This window comes from Homo sapiens, chromosome 5, assembly GCF_000001405.40.
Source record: "Homo sapiens chromosome 5, GRCh38.p14 Primary Assembly".
In the NCBI taxonomy this organism is placed as follows: Eukaryota; Metazoa; Chordata; class Mammalia; order Primates; family Hominidae; genus Homo; species Homo sapiens.
In genome coordinates this window covers 69,584,203-69,599,194 of record NC_000005.10, presented here as the reverse complement: position 1 = coordinate 69,599,194, position 14,992 = coordinate 69,584,203, and the positions used below count along the sequence as shown (strand labels likewise).

Genomic DNA, 14,992 nt, shown 5'->3' with positions numbered 1-14,992 from the left:
TTTTATCAGGACCTGTTTTTAAGTTACCTATGTACCTCTCTAAATGGGATTACAGGCAGTAGCTCTCACACTTCAACATTTATGGTAACCACCTGGAGGATTTGTTAAAGCGGACTGCTAGACCCATCCTCAGAGTTTCTGATTCAACAGGCCTGTGATGGGGCTCAAGAATTTGCTTTTTTTTTTTTTTTTTGAGATGGAGTCTCATTCTGTTGCCCAGGCTGCAGTGCAGTGGTGCGATCTTGGCTCACAGCAACCTCCGCCTCCTGGATTCAAGTGATTCTCCTGCCTCATCCTCCTGAGTAGCTGGGATTACAGATGCCCTTCACCACGGCCGGCTAATTTTTGTATTTTTAGTAGAGACAGGGTTTCACCATGTTGGTCAAGCTGGTCTCGAACTCCTGACCTCGTGATCTACCCACCTCAGCCTCCCAAAGTGCTGGGATTACAGGCATGAGGCACCGCGCCTGGCCAAGAATTTGCATTTCTAATGACTTCTTGGGTGATGCTAATGCTACTTACTGGTCCAAACACTACATTTAGAGTCACTGACTGTAGAGATCCTTAAAAGATCCCTATTCCTCCAAAGAGTCAATTCTTAATGCTTAAAACTTGAACTAGGCTGGGTACAGTGGCTAACGTCTGTAATCCCAGCACTTTGGAAGGCCTAGGAGAGAGGATCATTTGAGGCCAGGAGTTGACACGAGCCTGGACAGCACAGCAAGAGTCCATCTCTTAAAAAAAAAATTCAGCCAGGCATGGTGGTGCACACCTGTAGTCCTAGCTACTTGAGAAGCTGAATTGGGAGGATCACTTGTGCCCAGGAATTCAAGGCTGCAGTGAGTTGATTGTGCCATTGCACTCCAGCCTGAGAGACAGAGTGATACTGCCTCAAAAAAATAAAAATTTAAATTTAAAACAGAAACACAAAAAACCTAAATTATCCCCTAAGGCTGGCCACGGTGGCTCACACCTGTAATCCCAGCACTTTGGAAGGCCAAGGTGGGTGGATCACTTGAGGTCAGGAGTTCCGAGACCAGCCTGGTCAACATGGTGTGAAACCACGTCACTACTAAAAATACAAAAATCAGCCAGGCATGGTGGCACATGACTGTAGTCCCAGCTACTCGGGAGGCTGAGGCAGGAGAATCACTTGAACCCGGGAGGCAGATGTTGCAGTGATCCAAGATCATGCCACTGCACTCTAGCCTGGTTGACAGAGCAAGACTCTGTCACAAAAACAAAAACAAAAAGTAAATAAATTATCCCCTAAGAGGAGTATATCCCAGGAAAGTGTAACACCTGAAACTTAAAAGATTATCTGCCCTGATGATAAACGATAGAAAAGAGACAGGCCAGGCCAAAGTTTGTCAACTGGTGGACTGAAGATAAGTTTTATTTAGCCTCTGTGTTTTTCTAAATTAGAGGCTAACATCTCAAACTTGGGAGAATTCACTTTAAAAATCCAGTTTTTACGGCTGGGCATGGTGGCTCACGCTTGTGATTCCAATACTTTGGAAGACTGAGGTGTGCAGATTACTTAAGCTCAGGAGTTCAAGACCAGCCTAGGCAACATAGGAAGACACTGTCTCTACAAAAAAAAACTTTTTAAAAATTAGCCAGGCACAATGGCACACACCTGTGGTCCCAGCTACTAGGGAGTCTGAAGTGGGACCATCACTTGAGTCTGGAAGGTCGAGACTGCAGTGAGCCATGATTGCACCAATGCACTCCAGCCTGGGGAACAGAGCAAGGCTTTGTCTCAAAAAAAAAAAAAAAAAAAAAAAAAAAAATCCAGATTTAGTTTCTCTTTAAGTATCATTCCCAGAAGAAAAAAATAGGCTGGGGCCAAATAATGGTTACCTCACTTTATTTTTACATTTTTTTGAATTAAGTAACAAAATTTAAAAAATACAAAAGGATGTACAGTGAAAAGTACATCTCCCTTCTATCCCTGATCCCCAGACTCTCAGAGGCTGCCTCCTTTAGATGGGGCGGGTGCTTTCCAGATGTCCCCACTCTGCATCAACTGGCCCTCTTTCACTTATCTGCATTGTCTGCCTGACCCCTTTAGACATCTGAGCTGCCTCCCAACCCATTTTACCACGCCTCTCCTGCATCCCCTTAACACTTGGCATGTCTGTCGTTAGCACTTTCACACAAGCTTCTTTACAAGGCTGTGTCTTTTTAGATGGGGAGATTCACAGATGCATGAGGTTAGGTTTACATCTTCTTTTGACTATCTACATCCCTGATAACTAGGATGGTGTCAGACTTATGGCAGATGTACAAGTTTGTTGAGTGAATTAATAAATTAATGAATGGGCAAATTGTGTATTGTTTCCAGGGTCCTGAGGTGTGACGCAAATAGCAATTCAGTCAGGTGAAATCAATAATTTAGATCCCATCAGGATCCCAGCCGAGTCCCCAGTCCATCTTGTAACACTTCTCCCCAGAACATACTTAAATTACCTGGAAATAATGAATCCTCTGCCCTTACAGAACTGGATCCAAAGCAGGCACTAGGGCACTCTAAGACTACTTCTCAGAAGTGTGACAACCTCCTGTACCCTTTTTCTCCTTACTACAGGGCCCAAGGACTGAAACTTCTTACCTTTTCTCCTAAACTCTGCCACCCACTAATGGCCTCAGGACTGGGATTCCACTAACCCACTCCCCAAGGGCTGATTGCACCCTTTCTTTGTCACCACTCATGAAATCATTTCATGCTATGAATTGGCCAACCGTTCTAGAGATATAGCTGAACACAGACATGACCAGAAACATGAGGAAGTTATAAAGTATTGAGAAATCCTTCTAGAAGTAGATGCAATGCCACACCACTGAGCACGAGATCTGGCTTCCTGAGCAGTTACCAAAGGACGAGATGACACAGCCCTGTGGGCAAACTAGGATCAACGGGAAATGGAAGAACTTAGGAAACTAAGTTACTTCTCCTTCCTCCCTTCAATGGACTGCTCAGAGGGGCAGTTTCTCCTTATAAACCTTCTGGAGAAGCCCCACACTCTAAGTGAACACACTTGCTGGAAGGCTCCTGTATCTCGTCACAGCTTGTCATGAAGCCTGGTCACTGCAGTAACACAATGCATCACGTTTTTCCTTGCTTTGCTTTCCCTTTTCTTCCACACTCTCACCCCCCTAGATCTGTCCCTCCCTAATAAAGTAACAATACTTTCATCTTTGCCTCAGGTTCTACTTCCTAGGGGACCTAAGTTAAGAAATTCTTGTTGTTGACCAGGCGTGGTGGCTCACGCCTGTAATCCCAGCACTTTGGGAGGCCAAGGCAGATGGATCATGAGGTCAGGAGATCGAGACCATCCTGGCTAACACAGTGAAACCCCGTCTCCAGTAAAAATACAAAAAATTAGCCAGGCGTGGTGGCAGGCACCTGCAGTCCCAGCTACTCGGGAGGCTGAGGCAGGAGAATGGCATGAACCCGGGAGGTGGAGCTTGCAGTGAGCTGAGATCGCGCCACTGCACTCCAGCCTGGGCGACAGAGCGAGACTCTGTCTCAAAAAAAAAAAAAAAAATTCTTCTTGTTGTAATTTATTGTTGTTGCAATTTTTGTTTGTTGTAATTTCTAGGGTAACCACTGAAAGAATAAAAACAAAGTATACAATTTTCAAACTAGTGACGAAAAACATAGAATGGTAGAAAGTAAGTAATCAAAAAGAAGGCAAGAAGGAAAAGATCGTATCAAATATGTAGTTAAAAAAATTTAAAAAAACGAAAGATGGAATTGTTGGAACCAATAACACAAAGATAATAGACTTAAACCCAAATATATCAGTGGTAATCTTTTAATAAATATTTATATTTATTATATATATTTATATATTTTAATATATAATATATTAAAATATATATTATATATAAATATATATAAATATATAAATATAAATATAAATAATATATTTATAAATATAATATTTATAATAAAATATATCAGTGGTAATCTTTTAATAAGTAAATATATTTATTAAATATAAAAGGTACACAGTAAATATAAATGAACTAAATGCTTTAGTTAAAAGACAATAAAAATTATGAAATAAAAATGTATACACTTGAAAGTATTTAAAATAAATCTAATTTTCATAATGAATTTTAAGCATTAAGGAGTTTTGTAACTGAATAGTGGAACTCAGAAAGACATCCTATTCAGAAGGATCTCTCATGATAATAGTTTCCTTCACTATTGTAGTATACTGTAGAGTTTCAAGAAAAAAATTAAAGGCCAAAACTGTCTTACATTACCATTGCTGTTTCTGCAATCTTCAACAAACCAAAATTTTCTCTGTAATTGTGAAAAAAGAACTCCTCCTTAAGCATAACTAAAATTTTGCCTTAACCTTATCAAATACCCAAAACTGTAGAAAGAGATAAAGCTGTTAATAGAGACATGGGTATCCCTTTTTATCAGGTCAGGAGGGTAAGTCTCTAATAGAGAGTTCTAGTAACTTCTCAAAAGGTAACTAATGAAGGCCTTCCTTCTAAACCAGATAGGGGGAGATAGAATGCTCTGAGTATTAAAGGCATCTCCTGCAAGCCACTGATACCTTTGTTGACAGAGCACACAGAAGAAAATAGCAGTTACCAGGTTACCTATAGGTGAAATTTGTTTCCACATAAAGAACCACTGGGTCCAGGCTCATGGAGTATGACTCCTGAGAGAAACTCCCGTTACTCTGATCAGTGTGTGTGTGTGTGTGTGTGTGTGTGTGTGTGTGTGTGTGTATTAAAAATGAATATTCCTGGGCTCCCAATAAACTCTCCAGGGTGGGATTACGTTGTCTTTACTGATAATGTTCTTAACTAAAAATTCTTAGTTATAAAATCACAAATTTCGGCCGGGCACGGTGGCGGAGGTGGGTGGATGACCTGAGGTCAGGAGTTGGAGATCAGCCTGATCAACAAGGTGAAACCCCGTCTCTACCAAAAATGCAAAAATTAGCCAGGCGTGGTGGCAGGCGCCTGTAGTCCCAGCTACTCAGGAGGCTGAGACAGGAGAATGGCTTGAGCCTGGGAGGCGGAGGTTGCAGTGAGCCAACAGCAGGCCACTGCACTCCAGCCTGGGCGATGGAGCAAGACTCCATCTCAAAAAAAAAAAAAAAAAAATCACAAATTTCATAGTGAAACTCAAGTTAGAGTACCTGAAGTTTATATACATAAAATAGACATACCTTTGCTATGAAAGCCTGATTTACTCTTTTTTTTTTTTTTTTTTTTTTTTTTCTTGAGACAGAGTCTAGCTCTGTCGCCCAGGCTGGAGTGCAGTGGAGCGATCTCGGTTCACTGCAAGCTCCGCCTCCTGGGTTCACACCATTCTCCTGCCCCAGCCTTCCGAATAGCTGGGACTACAGGCGCCCGCCACCAGGCCCAGCTAATTTTTTGTATGTTTAGTAGAGACGGGGTTTCACCGTGTTAGCCAGGATGGTCTCGATCTCCTGACCTCGTGATCTGCCCGCCTCGGCCTCCCAAAGTGCTAGGATTACAGGCGTGAGCCACCGCGCCCGGCTGAAAGCCTGATTTACTCTTAACTGGATATAACCAGAAAGAGTTCTGCCCACAATGATATATCTGCATTGAATCTAAAACACAGACTTCATCATACATTCTCACCTAAATTTCTCTGATGACCCAGAGTAAGGCAAAAGGTTTAGCATATGAGAGTGAAAGGATTTGAATCTCACTTTCTGTCAAACTTTAGAGCTCTGTTAACCATGGTTAGTATCAACTATGATTTTAGGCAACTTTGCTTATAGTAAAAATAACTCGTTAATTGTTACGTATCTGGATTGGGATGCACTATAAATAAATGGAGTCTTCAAGCTTTAGGCTTTCCTGAGTGTAGTGACTCTTGAAATTGACACATCCCTTGTGGATACCTGGAAGCTGTGTTTATGGAATTGTTAAGAGATATTGGTTCCTTGATGCCTGTGGAGGATCTTATCTCCTTGCACCCAAATTGTACTAGTGGACTGCTACAAGGACTTCCACTGCTAATGAGGACTGCTTGATGCTGTGCTGGCAGGCTGTTGTTTCTGTTTAATATCCTTCTGAGTAAGCGGGTACCAAGTATGGCCATGGCAGTCTTGTGAGTTTGAATGTTTAATGTAAAGTGACTTCTGTTGGTCATAGCCACAAATAATTTCAGATGTACTAACTTGATAAACATATTCCAGATGTTTGGTTAAACCTAAAAAGACCTCTCTGGTGGATGTAGCAGTACATCATTTCATATGTATTAATTTCATAACTTTTTTTTTTTTTGAGAGGGAGTCTTACTCTAGGGTGGAGTGCAGTGGCACAATCTCGGCTCACTGCAACCTCCGCCTCCTGGGTTCAAGCGATTCTCCTGCCTCAGCCTCCCAAGTAGCTGGGACTCCAGGCGTGAACCACCATGCCCGGCTAATTATTTTTTGTATTTTTAGTAGTGACGGGGTTTCACCATGTTGGCCAGGCTGGTCTCGAACTCCTGACCTCAAGTGATCTGCCCACCTCAGCCTCCCAAAGTGTTGGGATTACAGGTGTGAGCCACAGCGCCCAGCCTAATTTCATAAGTATTGATAAATTTTCATCTTACACTGAATTTACATTCAGACTTAACTTTCTTCTTACACTAAATTAATGAATTAACATAAATCATAAAGATTCTATATTTAATTATAAAAACATAAAATTATCACATCAATTTAATTCTTATAAGTTTATACATACTGCATAATGACTTTGAAAACAGTATAACTCAAAATAATAGAAAACAAAATTAATTGAATGAAGTACTACTGAATTTCAGGTATTTCTGTGACAACACAAATTTAAAATTTAATAAAATATTACCTTTTCTTAGCAAAAAGTTTCTTAAGTCAGATTATCCTTTCATGTTTTAAATGAAGCTTCTTCTAAAGAAGTCCTTTTATTCACAGTTGCAAATTTCTTTTTAACACATACAATGTATACTACATGCTGGAATCAAACACCTGAAGGAGCTGGAATCTTATGAATACAGCCAGGGCAACAGTGTAGAGAATCATGAACAAAAACATCACAGTCCACACAGAAAACATTTTGGCACACAGCACAAACATAAACCTGTAGTGAAAAGAAGAAAAGTGATAAACTAGTTTCCAAAAGTTAATTACAGCACAGCTAGATGACATTCAAGGTGTGCTTTGCTCTTTTATATCTCTACCAATTTTTTCCCACTACCTACTTTATTACTTCCAATGTACTCTATATTCTCAAATCTAAGGCAATTAATTTTTTCCCCAAAACTATCCCTTAGAAATGAGGGAATGGTTTTGTTTTTGAGTCTTTAAAGTCTATTCTATTACAGTTCGCTCTCAATTATTTCATTCTAAGGTTTAGGAAAGACATATGAGCTTCAAACCAGCGCTACTTTTGAATGCTTAGCAAGACCACCTGATTGATTCAATTAAAAAGAGAAGCATAAAAATTTAACATCGATTTAATTATTCTTAGGGAATGACCTCACAATTGCAAACATATTTCCCTTTCAAGTAAACCTTTAAAAAAATATGTCAAATGACACAGATAAGACAAGCAGAAAGGAAAAAACTACATTTGTTCTTTCAGCATTACATATATGAGTACTTGCTCCTTGGGATAAAATTTCCAGGGCAGCTTCATACACAGATTCAAAAATCACTAAATCTCAGAAGTATTTGGCTTTGAATAAAAAAAAAAAAAAAGAATGAATAAATAAATTTCAAACAACACAGACAATGACCTATTCTTAAAAACTCAAATGAGGCCGGGTGTAGTGACTCACGCCTGTAATCCCAGCACTTTGGGAGGCCAAGGCGGGTGGATTGCTTGAGCCCAGGAGTTCAGGACCAGCTGGTCAACATGGTGAAACCCAGTCTCTACTAAAAATACAAAAATTGGCTGGGCATGGTGGTGCACGCCTATAATCCCAGCTGCTTGGGAGGCTAGGCATGAGAATCACTTGAACTTGGGAGGCAGAGGTTGCAGTGAGCCAAGATTGCATCACTGCACTACAACCTGGGTGACAGAGCAAGAGTCTGTCTCAGAAAATAAAACCAAAAAACTGTCAAATGATTCAAAAAGTGGTTCCAGTTAAGAGTAAACTACTGATGTCAAAGAGGTATATAAAATTTAATAAAATTACTTTATAAATTGTGACAGTGGAAGAGCAATACTTCTAATTATTATTTTATATAATATATATAGTTTTAAATATGAACATGTAACTAAATTAAAAATTAAAGCTAGACAGTGATCCATATTATTTACATCTATACAAATTTATTTATTAAAGTTGGCCCTCTTCAAAATTTAAAAAAGTATTTTCTCATTGGCATAATGGAAGAATCACCTATTATCTGTGGCCACCTTAAACAATTTCAATGTGTTATCACACAGCTTAAAGTATAATATGAAGAAAATATTTTAAATACTTTCAGACTAAATGCAGTTTAGCTTGAAAGCTAAAGACAAATTACATGTTTTACAAGGGTGTACCAAAGTAGACAAAACAATCAAAGAATTTAAAAAAAGAGGAAAAAAATTAAAAAATTTTTAATAAAAAGTTTTAAAAAGATGAATTACAAAATACTTTATAGCAAAAATTAGAATGCAGAATAACAAAACTACTATTTAAACTATTTTGTTCCTATTTTACCTTCACCTATTGTCATTATCTTTACAAGAAATAAACTGATATGAGCCTGGTCTTTAACAACCTGTTGAAAACTTATAGTACCATTGATTTCAATATTTCTTGTACATTACTTAATATTTAGAAAGCCAAAGAACTTACATGTTGGTCTTTCAATTCCCCCTGACATCCATAACAAAATCTGAAAAAAAAGTTTAACAATGTTTTTTCTTAGAATTTACTCATTAAAATAGTTCAACAAAATCTCACTAACTAGAATCCTTTAATTAATATGTACTTGTCTTTACACATGACTTTCAGGAAAAAGAGTTAAGAATACCAATAGGCCAGGCACAGTGGCTCACGCCTATAATCCCAGCACTTTGGGAGGCCGAGGCGGGTGGATCACCTCAGGTCAGGAGTTCGTGACCAGCCTGGCCAACGTGGCGAAACCCCGTCTCTACTAAAAATACAAAAATTAGCTGGGCGTGATGGCAGGCGCCTATAATCCCAGCTACTCAGGAGGCTGACGCAGGAGAATCGCTTGAACCCAGGACACGGAGGTTGCAGTGAGCCGAGATGGTGTCATTGCACTCCACACTGAGCAACGGGAGCAAAACTCTGACTCACAAAAAAAAAAAAAAAAAAAAAAAAGAATAGCAATAATTTAAAAAAAAATTCCACAGTATATACAAGGTCATCTGACAGCCCAAAATTTAGTTTTTATTTTCATTAAGGTTAACTGTGAGCATGCTTTATTTTTCTTTGTTTTCGAGTCAGGGTCTTGCTTTGTCTCAAAGGCTGGAGTGCTGAGGTGCTATCACAGCTCACTGCAGCCTCAACCTCCTGGGCTCAAGTGATCCTCCTGCCTCAGCCTCCTGAGTAGCTGGGACTACAGGCATGTATCTCCATGCCTGGCTAATTTTTTATTGAGGCAGGGTCTCGCTATATTGCCCAGGCTGGTCTCGAATGCCTGGGCTCAAGCAATCCTCCTATCTTGGCTTCCCAAAGTGTTAGGATTACAGGCATGAGCCACCATGCCCAGCCAGAAGCACTTTCTAACGTTTGTTTGATAGTCACTTATTCTAATAAGTGCTACTTTGTGATTCTTCACAGTTATTGGCTATAAATCTCCAACTATGAAAGAAGAGAATTTAATTATCTTTCAATCATCTTGAACCCAGTAATGCATAAATATTTAACTAGTGTCATTCTCAATTCTTTCTACATAGTGAAGTCTTCCTTTTGGATAGAACAATAATCAATGTTTAGTTTACTATGCCTATAAAAATATTCTCAGCTAAGCCATAAGTTTTCCCCTATTTAAAACATTTTTTTTTTCCTGGAAATACTGTGTTGCTATTCCCAAGGTTAGTTTCCTATATAATTGACACTAATTCAGGCCCAATCTTCTCCGGAATAGTCTAACTGTCCTCTCGATATGTTCAAATACATCAGGAGTTCTGCAGTTTTCATCCCCTTGGTGATCTCTCTCCTGGAGCATCCTGACTGTCTCCAAACTGGACGGTTCCCCATATGTGACACACAGGTATCATTCTGGAATTTCTCCTTACCATCATCCTAGGCCGTTCTTCAGCCTGTTTTGAATTAGATACATATTACTAGATCCCATGTCATTCTCCTTCTCAGTTCCTTTGAATCACCTACCTCTTCCAGACCTTCCCCAGAAAAATCTCTTTTTGAGACCTTACAAGTCTGAAAATGTCTTTATTCTACCTACACTTAACTGATAGTTTGGCTGGGTATCTAAGTTGGTAACAATTTTCACCACAAACTTTGAAGGTGACTGCTCCCTCTCTGCATCCGGTGTTGCTAATGAGAAGCCAAACAATTTTAATTCCAGATCCTTTGTGTGTGACCTAGTTTTTCCTCTCTGGAAATGTTTAGGGTTAATGGTTTATTGTGTATTCTGAAATTTCACAATTATGGGGTCTGCCTTCCTTCAATACGTTAGGCACTTGGCAGTCCCTTTCTTTTATCTTCGTTGCAGAGATGAGGTCTTGCTGTGTGACCCAGGCTGGCCTGGAACTCCTGGCCTCCAGTTATCCCCCAGTCTCAGCCTCCCAAAGTGCAAGGATTAGAGCTATGAGCCACCCTTCCCAGCCAACAGGCCCTTTCAATCTAGAAAGTTCTGTCCTTCAATATAAAATTTCTTTGAACTATGTCTTTGATGATTTTCTATCCTACTTTTTTTCTTTTTTTCTCGTATCATTCTCATATTGGACCTTCTGGATAATTCCACCAGTATTCTTATCTTTACTCTCCTATTTGAACCTCTTTATTTTACTCCTTTTATTGTACTTTCTGGAATATTTCTTCAACTCTATCTTCTATAGTACTGGGTTTTTCATTTTTACTACATTTAACCTCAACCATAAGCAAATAAATACCAAGCTAAAACAATGAGACTTTTTTCTTTTTCTTTTGCCTGTGAGTTTTGGCCAATATAAAAAAGTTTCATAATACCTAATGTTGGCTAAATGTGGGAAAACAATAAATGAAACTTCTTTGAAGAACAACTTTACAATATCTATCAAAATTCACAAAACATGTAAAACTCTTGACTCAGTAATTTTACCTCTAGGAATTTACCATGCATTTATACTTGTACAAATGTTCAAAAATATAGATATAAGCATTATTTGTTAATAGCAAAAAAAGAAAATCTTAAATATCCAACAGGAAGCAATTGATTATATAAACCATAATTATACCTGAAATATGCAACAATTTCAAAAACAACATTGATCTAGATATGGTGATATTGAATGACTTCTAAATGACTTAAGTGTGAAAAGCAAGATGGATACATAATTGTTTTTGGCTAGCCAGTAAGTGTTTAATGTGATTCCTAAATCCTGGATGTTCTTTTTTTTTTTGATGGAGTTTCGCTCTTGTCGCCCAGCTGGAGTGCAATGGTGTGATCTTGGCTCACTGCAACCTCCACCTCCCAGGTTCAAGGGATTCTCCTGCCTCAGCCTCCTGAGTAGCTGGGGATTACAGGCACCTCCCACCACACCCGGCTAATTTTTATATTGTTAGTAGAGACGGTGTTTCACCATGTTGACCAGGCTGGTCTCGAACTGCTGACCTCAGGTGACCCACCTGCCTCGGTCTCCCAAAGTGCTGGGATTACAGGCGTCAGCCACCGTGCCAGCCGATCCTAGATGTTCTTAAAAGTAGTAAATCTTTATTTTCTGAAAACTATTCTCTAAAGGATTGACTACCTCTATTTCAGACCTTATTTGTTGTATTTCACACAAATAGCATTCGTAAAAATACTTAAAGATTTTAGATAAATTATGTTATGCCAGATTTTTTTTTTTTTGAGACGAAGTTTCGCTCTTGTTACCCAGGCTGGAGTGCAGTGGTGCGATCTTGGCTCACCGCAACCTCTGCCTCTCGAGTTCAAGCGATTCTCCTGCCTCAGCCTCCCGAGTAGCTGGGATTACAGGTATGCACCACCATACTAGGCTAATTTTGTATTTTTAGTAGAGATGGGGTTTCTCCATGTCATTCAGGCTGGTGTTGAACTCCTGACCTCAGGTGATCTGCCTGCCTTGGCCTCCAAAAGTGCTGGGATTACAGGTATGAGCCACCATGTCCAGCTTTTTTTTTCTTTTTTAAGAGACAGTGTCTCACTATGTTGCCCCAGCTAGTCTTCAACTCCTGGCCTCAAGTGATCCTCCCACCTCAGCCTCCCAAAGTGCTGAATGAGCCTCTTATTTTCAGTAGTGTGCTAGGACTGGATTGTACTGGATCAAAAGGATATATTGTTAAATATGTATTCAAGAAAGCTGGTTGTTAATTGTAGCTAAAAATTGGCCATGGTGGGAGTATTCAAACCATGGAAATCAGCAAATACTACCAATCAGGGCTTTTTTTCTTTTCCTTCTGGAAAACTGATTTAGTAGTACAATCATCACCCCTATTTATACATAGGTGGGTTTAGTGAAATTATTTGGTTTCTGGAGATTCAGATCTATTTAGCAACGAGTCATTTCAATCATAACTATGGCATTCTTTATCTCATCTTCCATATTAGAAGTACTCTTGTCCAAGTTAATCAGATTATTTTTTAAGGTAGTAACAATCTATTCAAACATTAGCTTACCACTTATAACAGATATAAATTAGTCCAAACTGAAATACCTTTCTCCATTATATTCTTCTAGGGGAATTTCTTGAAAAGCATCCAAAGGAAACAAATGATGGTAAGACCGTGCCAAGTGGGGAGCAGACACCAAAGTAAGACCTAACACATTAAGCAGAGAGACATGTTGAGTAGTCCAAACCTCATGAAGACAACGGCTGAAAAGCCAAAAGATGTAACTTCAGCAGAATATGTTCAGTTTCTTTTAGGATGGCAGTTATTAATTTTACCTGTGGCTATAACAGAAGATTGTAGGATGGAGTCTTAGTTCTGTCACTAAGTGTGTAACCAACCTGTCTCGGTCTATTTGCTTACTTATATTATAAATGAAATAAAATTCGACAATTCTATTAGTTTAATTCTTCATTCTTATATATATTTACTTTATAAAGGTAAGAGATGGAAAAATGTCTACTACATCTACTGCACTGCCTTTAAAGAATATACTTTTTTCAGAAAGAGGATCAGGAAACTAGAATGCTACATTTATACGTGGAAGTGGAGTACTGGGCACTCAATTTAAAAAGTAATCTATTTTTCTTTGCACAGATTAAATCCAGAAACATAGGAATAACTTAACATTTACATTAATTTTAGCAGCAATACAGATTAAGAAGTCATTCAAGATTTACTGAATAATGAATAGTTGTTTTCTTACCACAGATTTTACATTCAACAGGTAGCTCACAGTACTTTGCCCGACACTGTGGGCAGAAATAGCCTCCTAATGTAAGCCCTGGCTCAGTATTGCCATCCAAATGCCTGTAGGGGGAAAAAGGGTAATATATAATGATCTGAAAAGTTAGAGCGGGAAAGCATGCTATCTTGACCTTAAAATCTTGACACTATTTAAAAATCTATTTAAAAGTCTGTATTTTTGGCCGGGCGCAGAGGCTCACACCTGTAATCCCAGCACTTTGGGAGGCCAAGGCGGGTGGATCACCTGAGGTCAGGAGTTCAAGACCAGCCTGGCCAACACGGTGAAGCCCCATCTCTACTAAAAAATACAAAAATTAGCCAGGCGCCTGTAATCCCAGCTACTTGGGAGGCTGAAGTAGAATTGCTTGAACCCAGGAGGCAGAGGTTGCAGTGAGCTGAGATTGCACCACTGCACTCCAGCCCGGGTGCCAAGAGTGAAACTCCATCTCAAAAAAAAAACAAAAGAAGTCTATATTTAAAAAAAAAATTTATAACTTTTTGTAGAGATGGGGGTCTCTCACTATATTGCTGGTCTTGAATTCCTAGCCTCAAGTGATCCACCTGCCTTAGCTTCCCAAAGTGCTGGGATTATAGGTGTGAGCCACCATGCCTGGTCTAAAAGTCTATTTTAAAATCTGTGAGTATGTCTTATAACTCAATTATGCTACATTCATTTTTTTCCCCCTCTTCATTTTTTTTTTTTTTTTTTTGAGACGGATTCTCACTCTGTTGCCCAAGCTGGAGTGCAGTGGCACAATCTCAACTCACTACAATCTCCGCCTCCCAGGTTCAAGCAATTCTCGTGCCTTGGCTTCCTGAGTAGCTGGGATTACAGGCACGTGCTACCACACCCAGCTAATTTTTGTATTTTTAGTAGAGATGGGGTTTCATCATGTTGGCCAGGCTGGTCTCAAACTCCTGGTCTCAAGTGATCTGCCTGCCTCGGCCTCCCAAAGTGCTGGGATTACAGATGTGAGCCACTACACCCAGCCCTTCTCTTCATTTTTAAAGTCTCTATTACTATCTTTGAATTCACTAATTTTTTCTTCTGCAGTGTCTAATCTGCTGTTAATCCCAGCCAATATATTTTTCATCTAAAACACTGTATTCTTCATCACTAGAAGTTTGATTTGGGTCTTTTTTATACCTTCCATATCTCTTCTTACCATTCTCATGTTCTCTAACATCCTGAACATACAGAGTACATTTATAATTGTTGTCCTAACATCTTTGTCTACTAATTCTTTTTTTTCTTTTTTGATAAGAGTCTCGCTCTGTCACCCAGGCTGTAGTGAAATGGCACGATCTCAGCTCGCTGCAACCTTTACCTCCTGGGTTCAAGTCATTCTTGTACCTCAGCCTCCCAAGTAGCTGGGATTACAGGCGTGTGCCACCAGGCCTGGCTAATTTTTGTGTTTTTAGTAGAGATGGGTTTCGCCATGTTGGCTGTGCTG

At 39.3% G+C, this 14,992-nt stretch overlaps 1 protein-coding gene across 15 annotated transcripts in view; it reads right to left on the bottom strand.

The window, feature by feature from the left end:
- Window positions 1-3,973: 3,973 nt before the first annotated feature.
- Window positions 3,974-14,992, bottom strand: part of GTF2H2C (GTF2H2 family member C) — a 35,031-nt gene continuing 24,012 nt past the window's right edge. For 12 of the 15 annotated variants that reach the window (NR_164751.1, NR_164749.1, NR_164750.1 and 9 more), the window contains 4 exons: window positions 13,498-13,601; window positions 12,839-12,941; window positions 8,828-8,867; window positions 3,979-7,116 (listed from right to left, as the gene is read on the bottom strand). Coding sequence is in view for 11 of the 15 variants with exons in the window: in NM_001376006.1 (NP_001362935.1) it covers window positions 6,997-7,116; window positions 8,828-8,867; window positions 12,839-12,941; window positions 13,498-13,601 (367 nt within the window). In the remaining 4 variants the exon portion in view is untranslated. Of the gene's footprint in view, window positions 7,117-8,827; window positions 8,868-12,838; window positions 12,942-13,497; window positions 13,602-14,992 lie in introns of all 15 variants that reach the window. The other 3 variants (NM_001376000.2, XM_047417684.1, XM_011543615.2) reach the window with 2 other exon arrangements.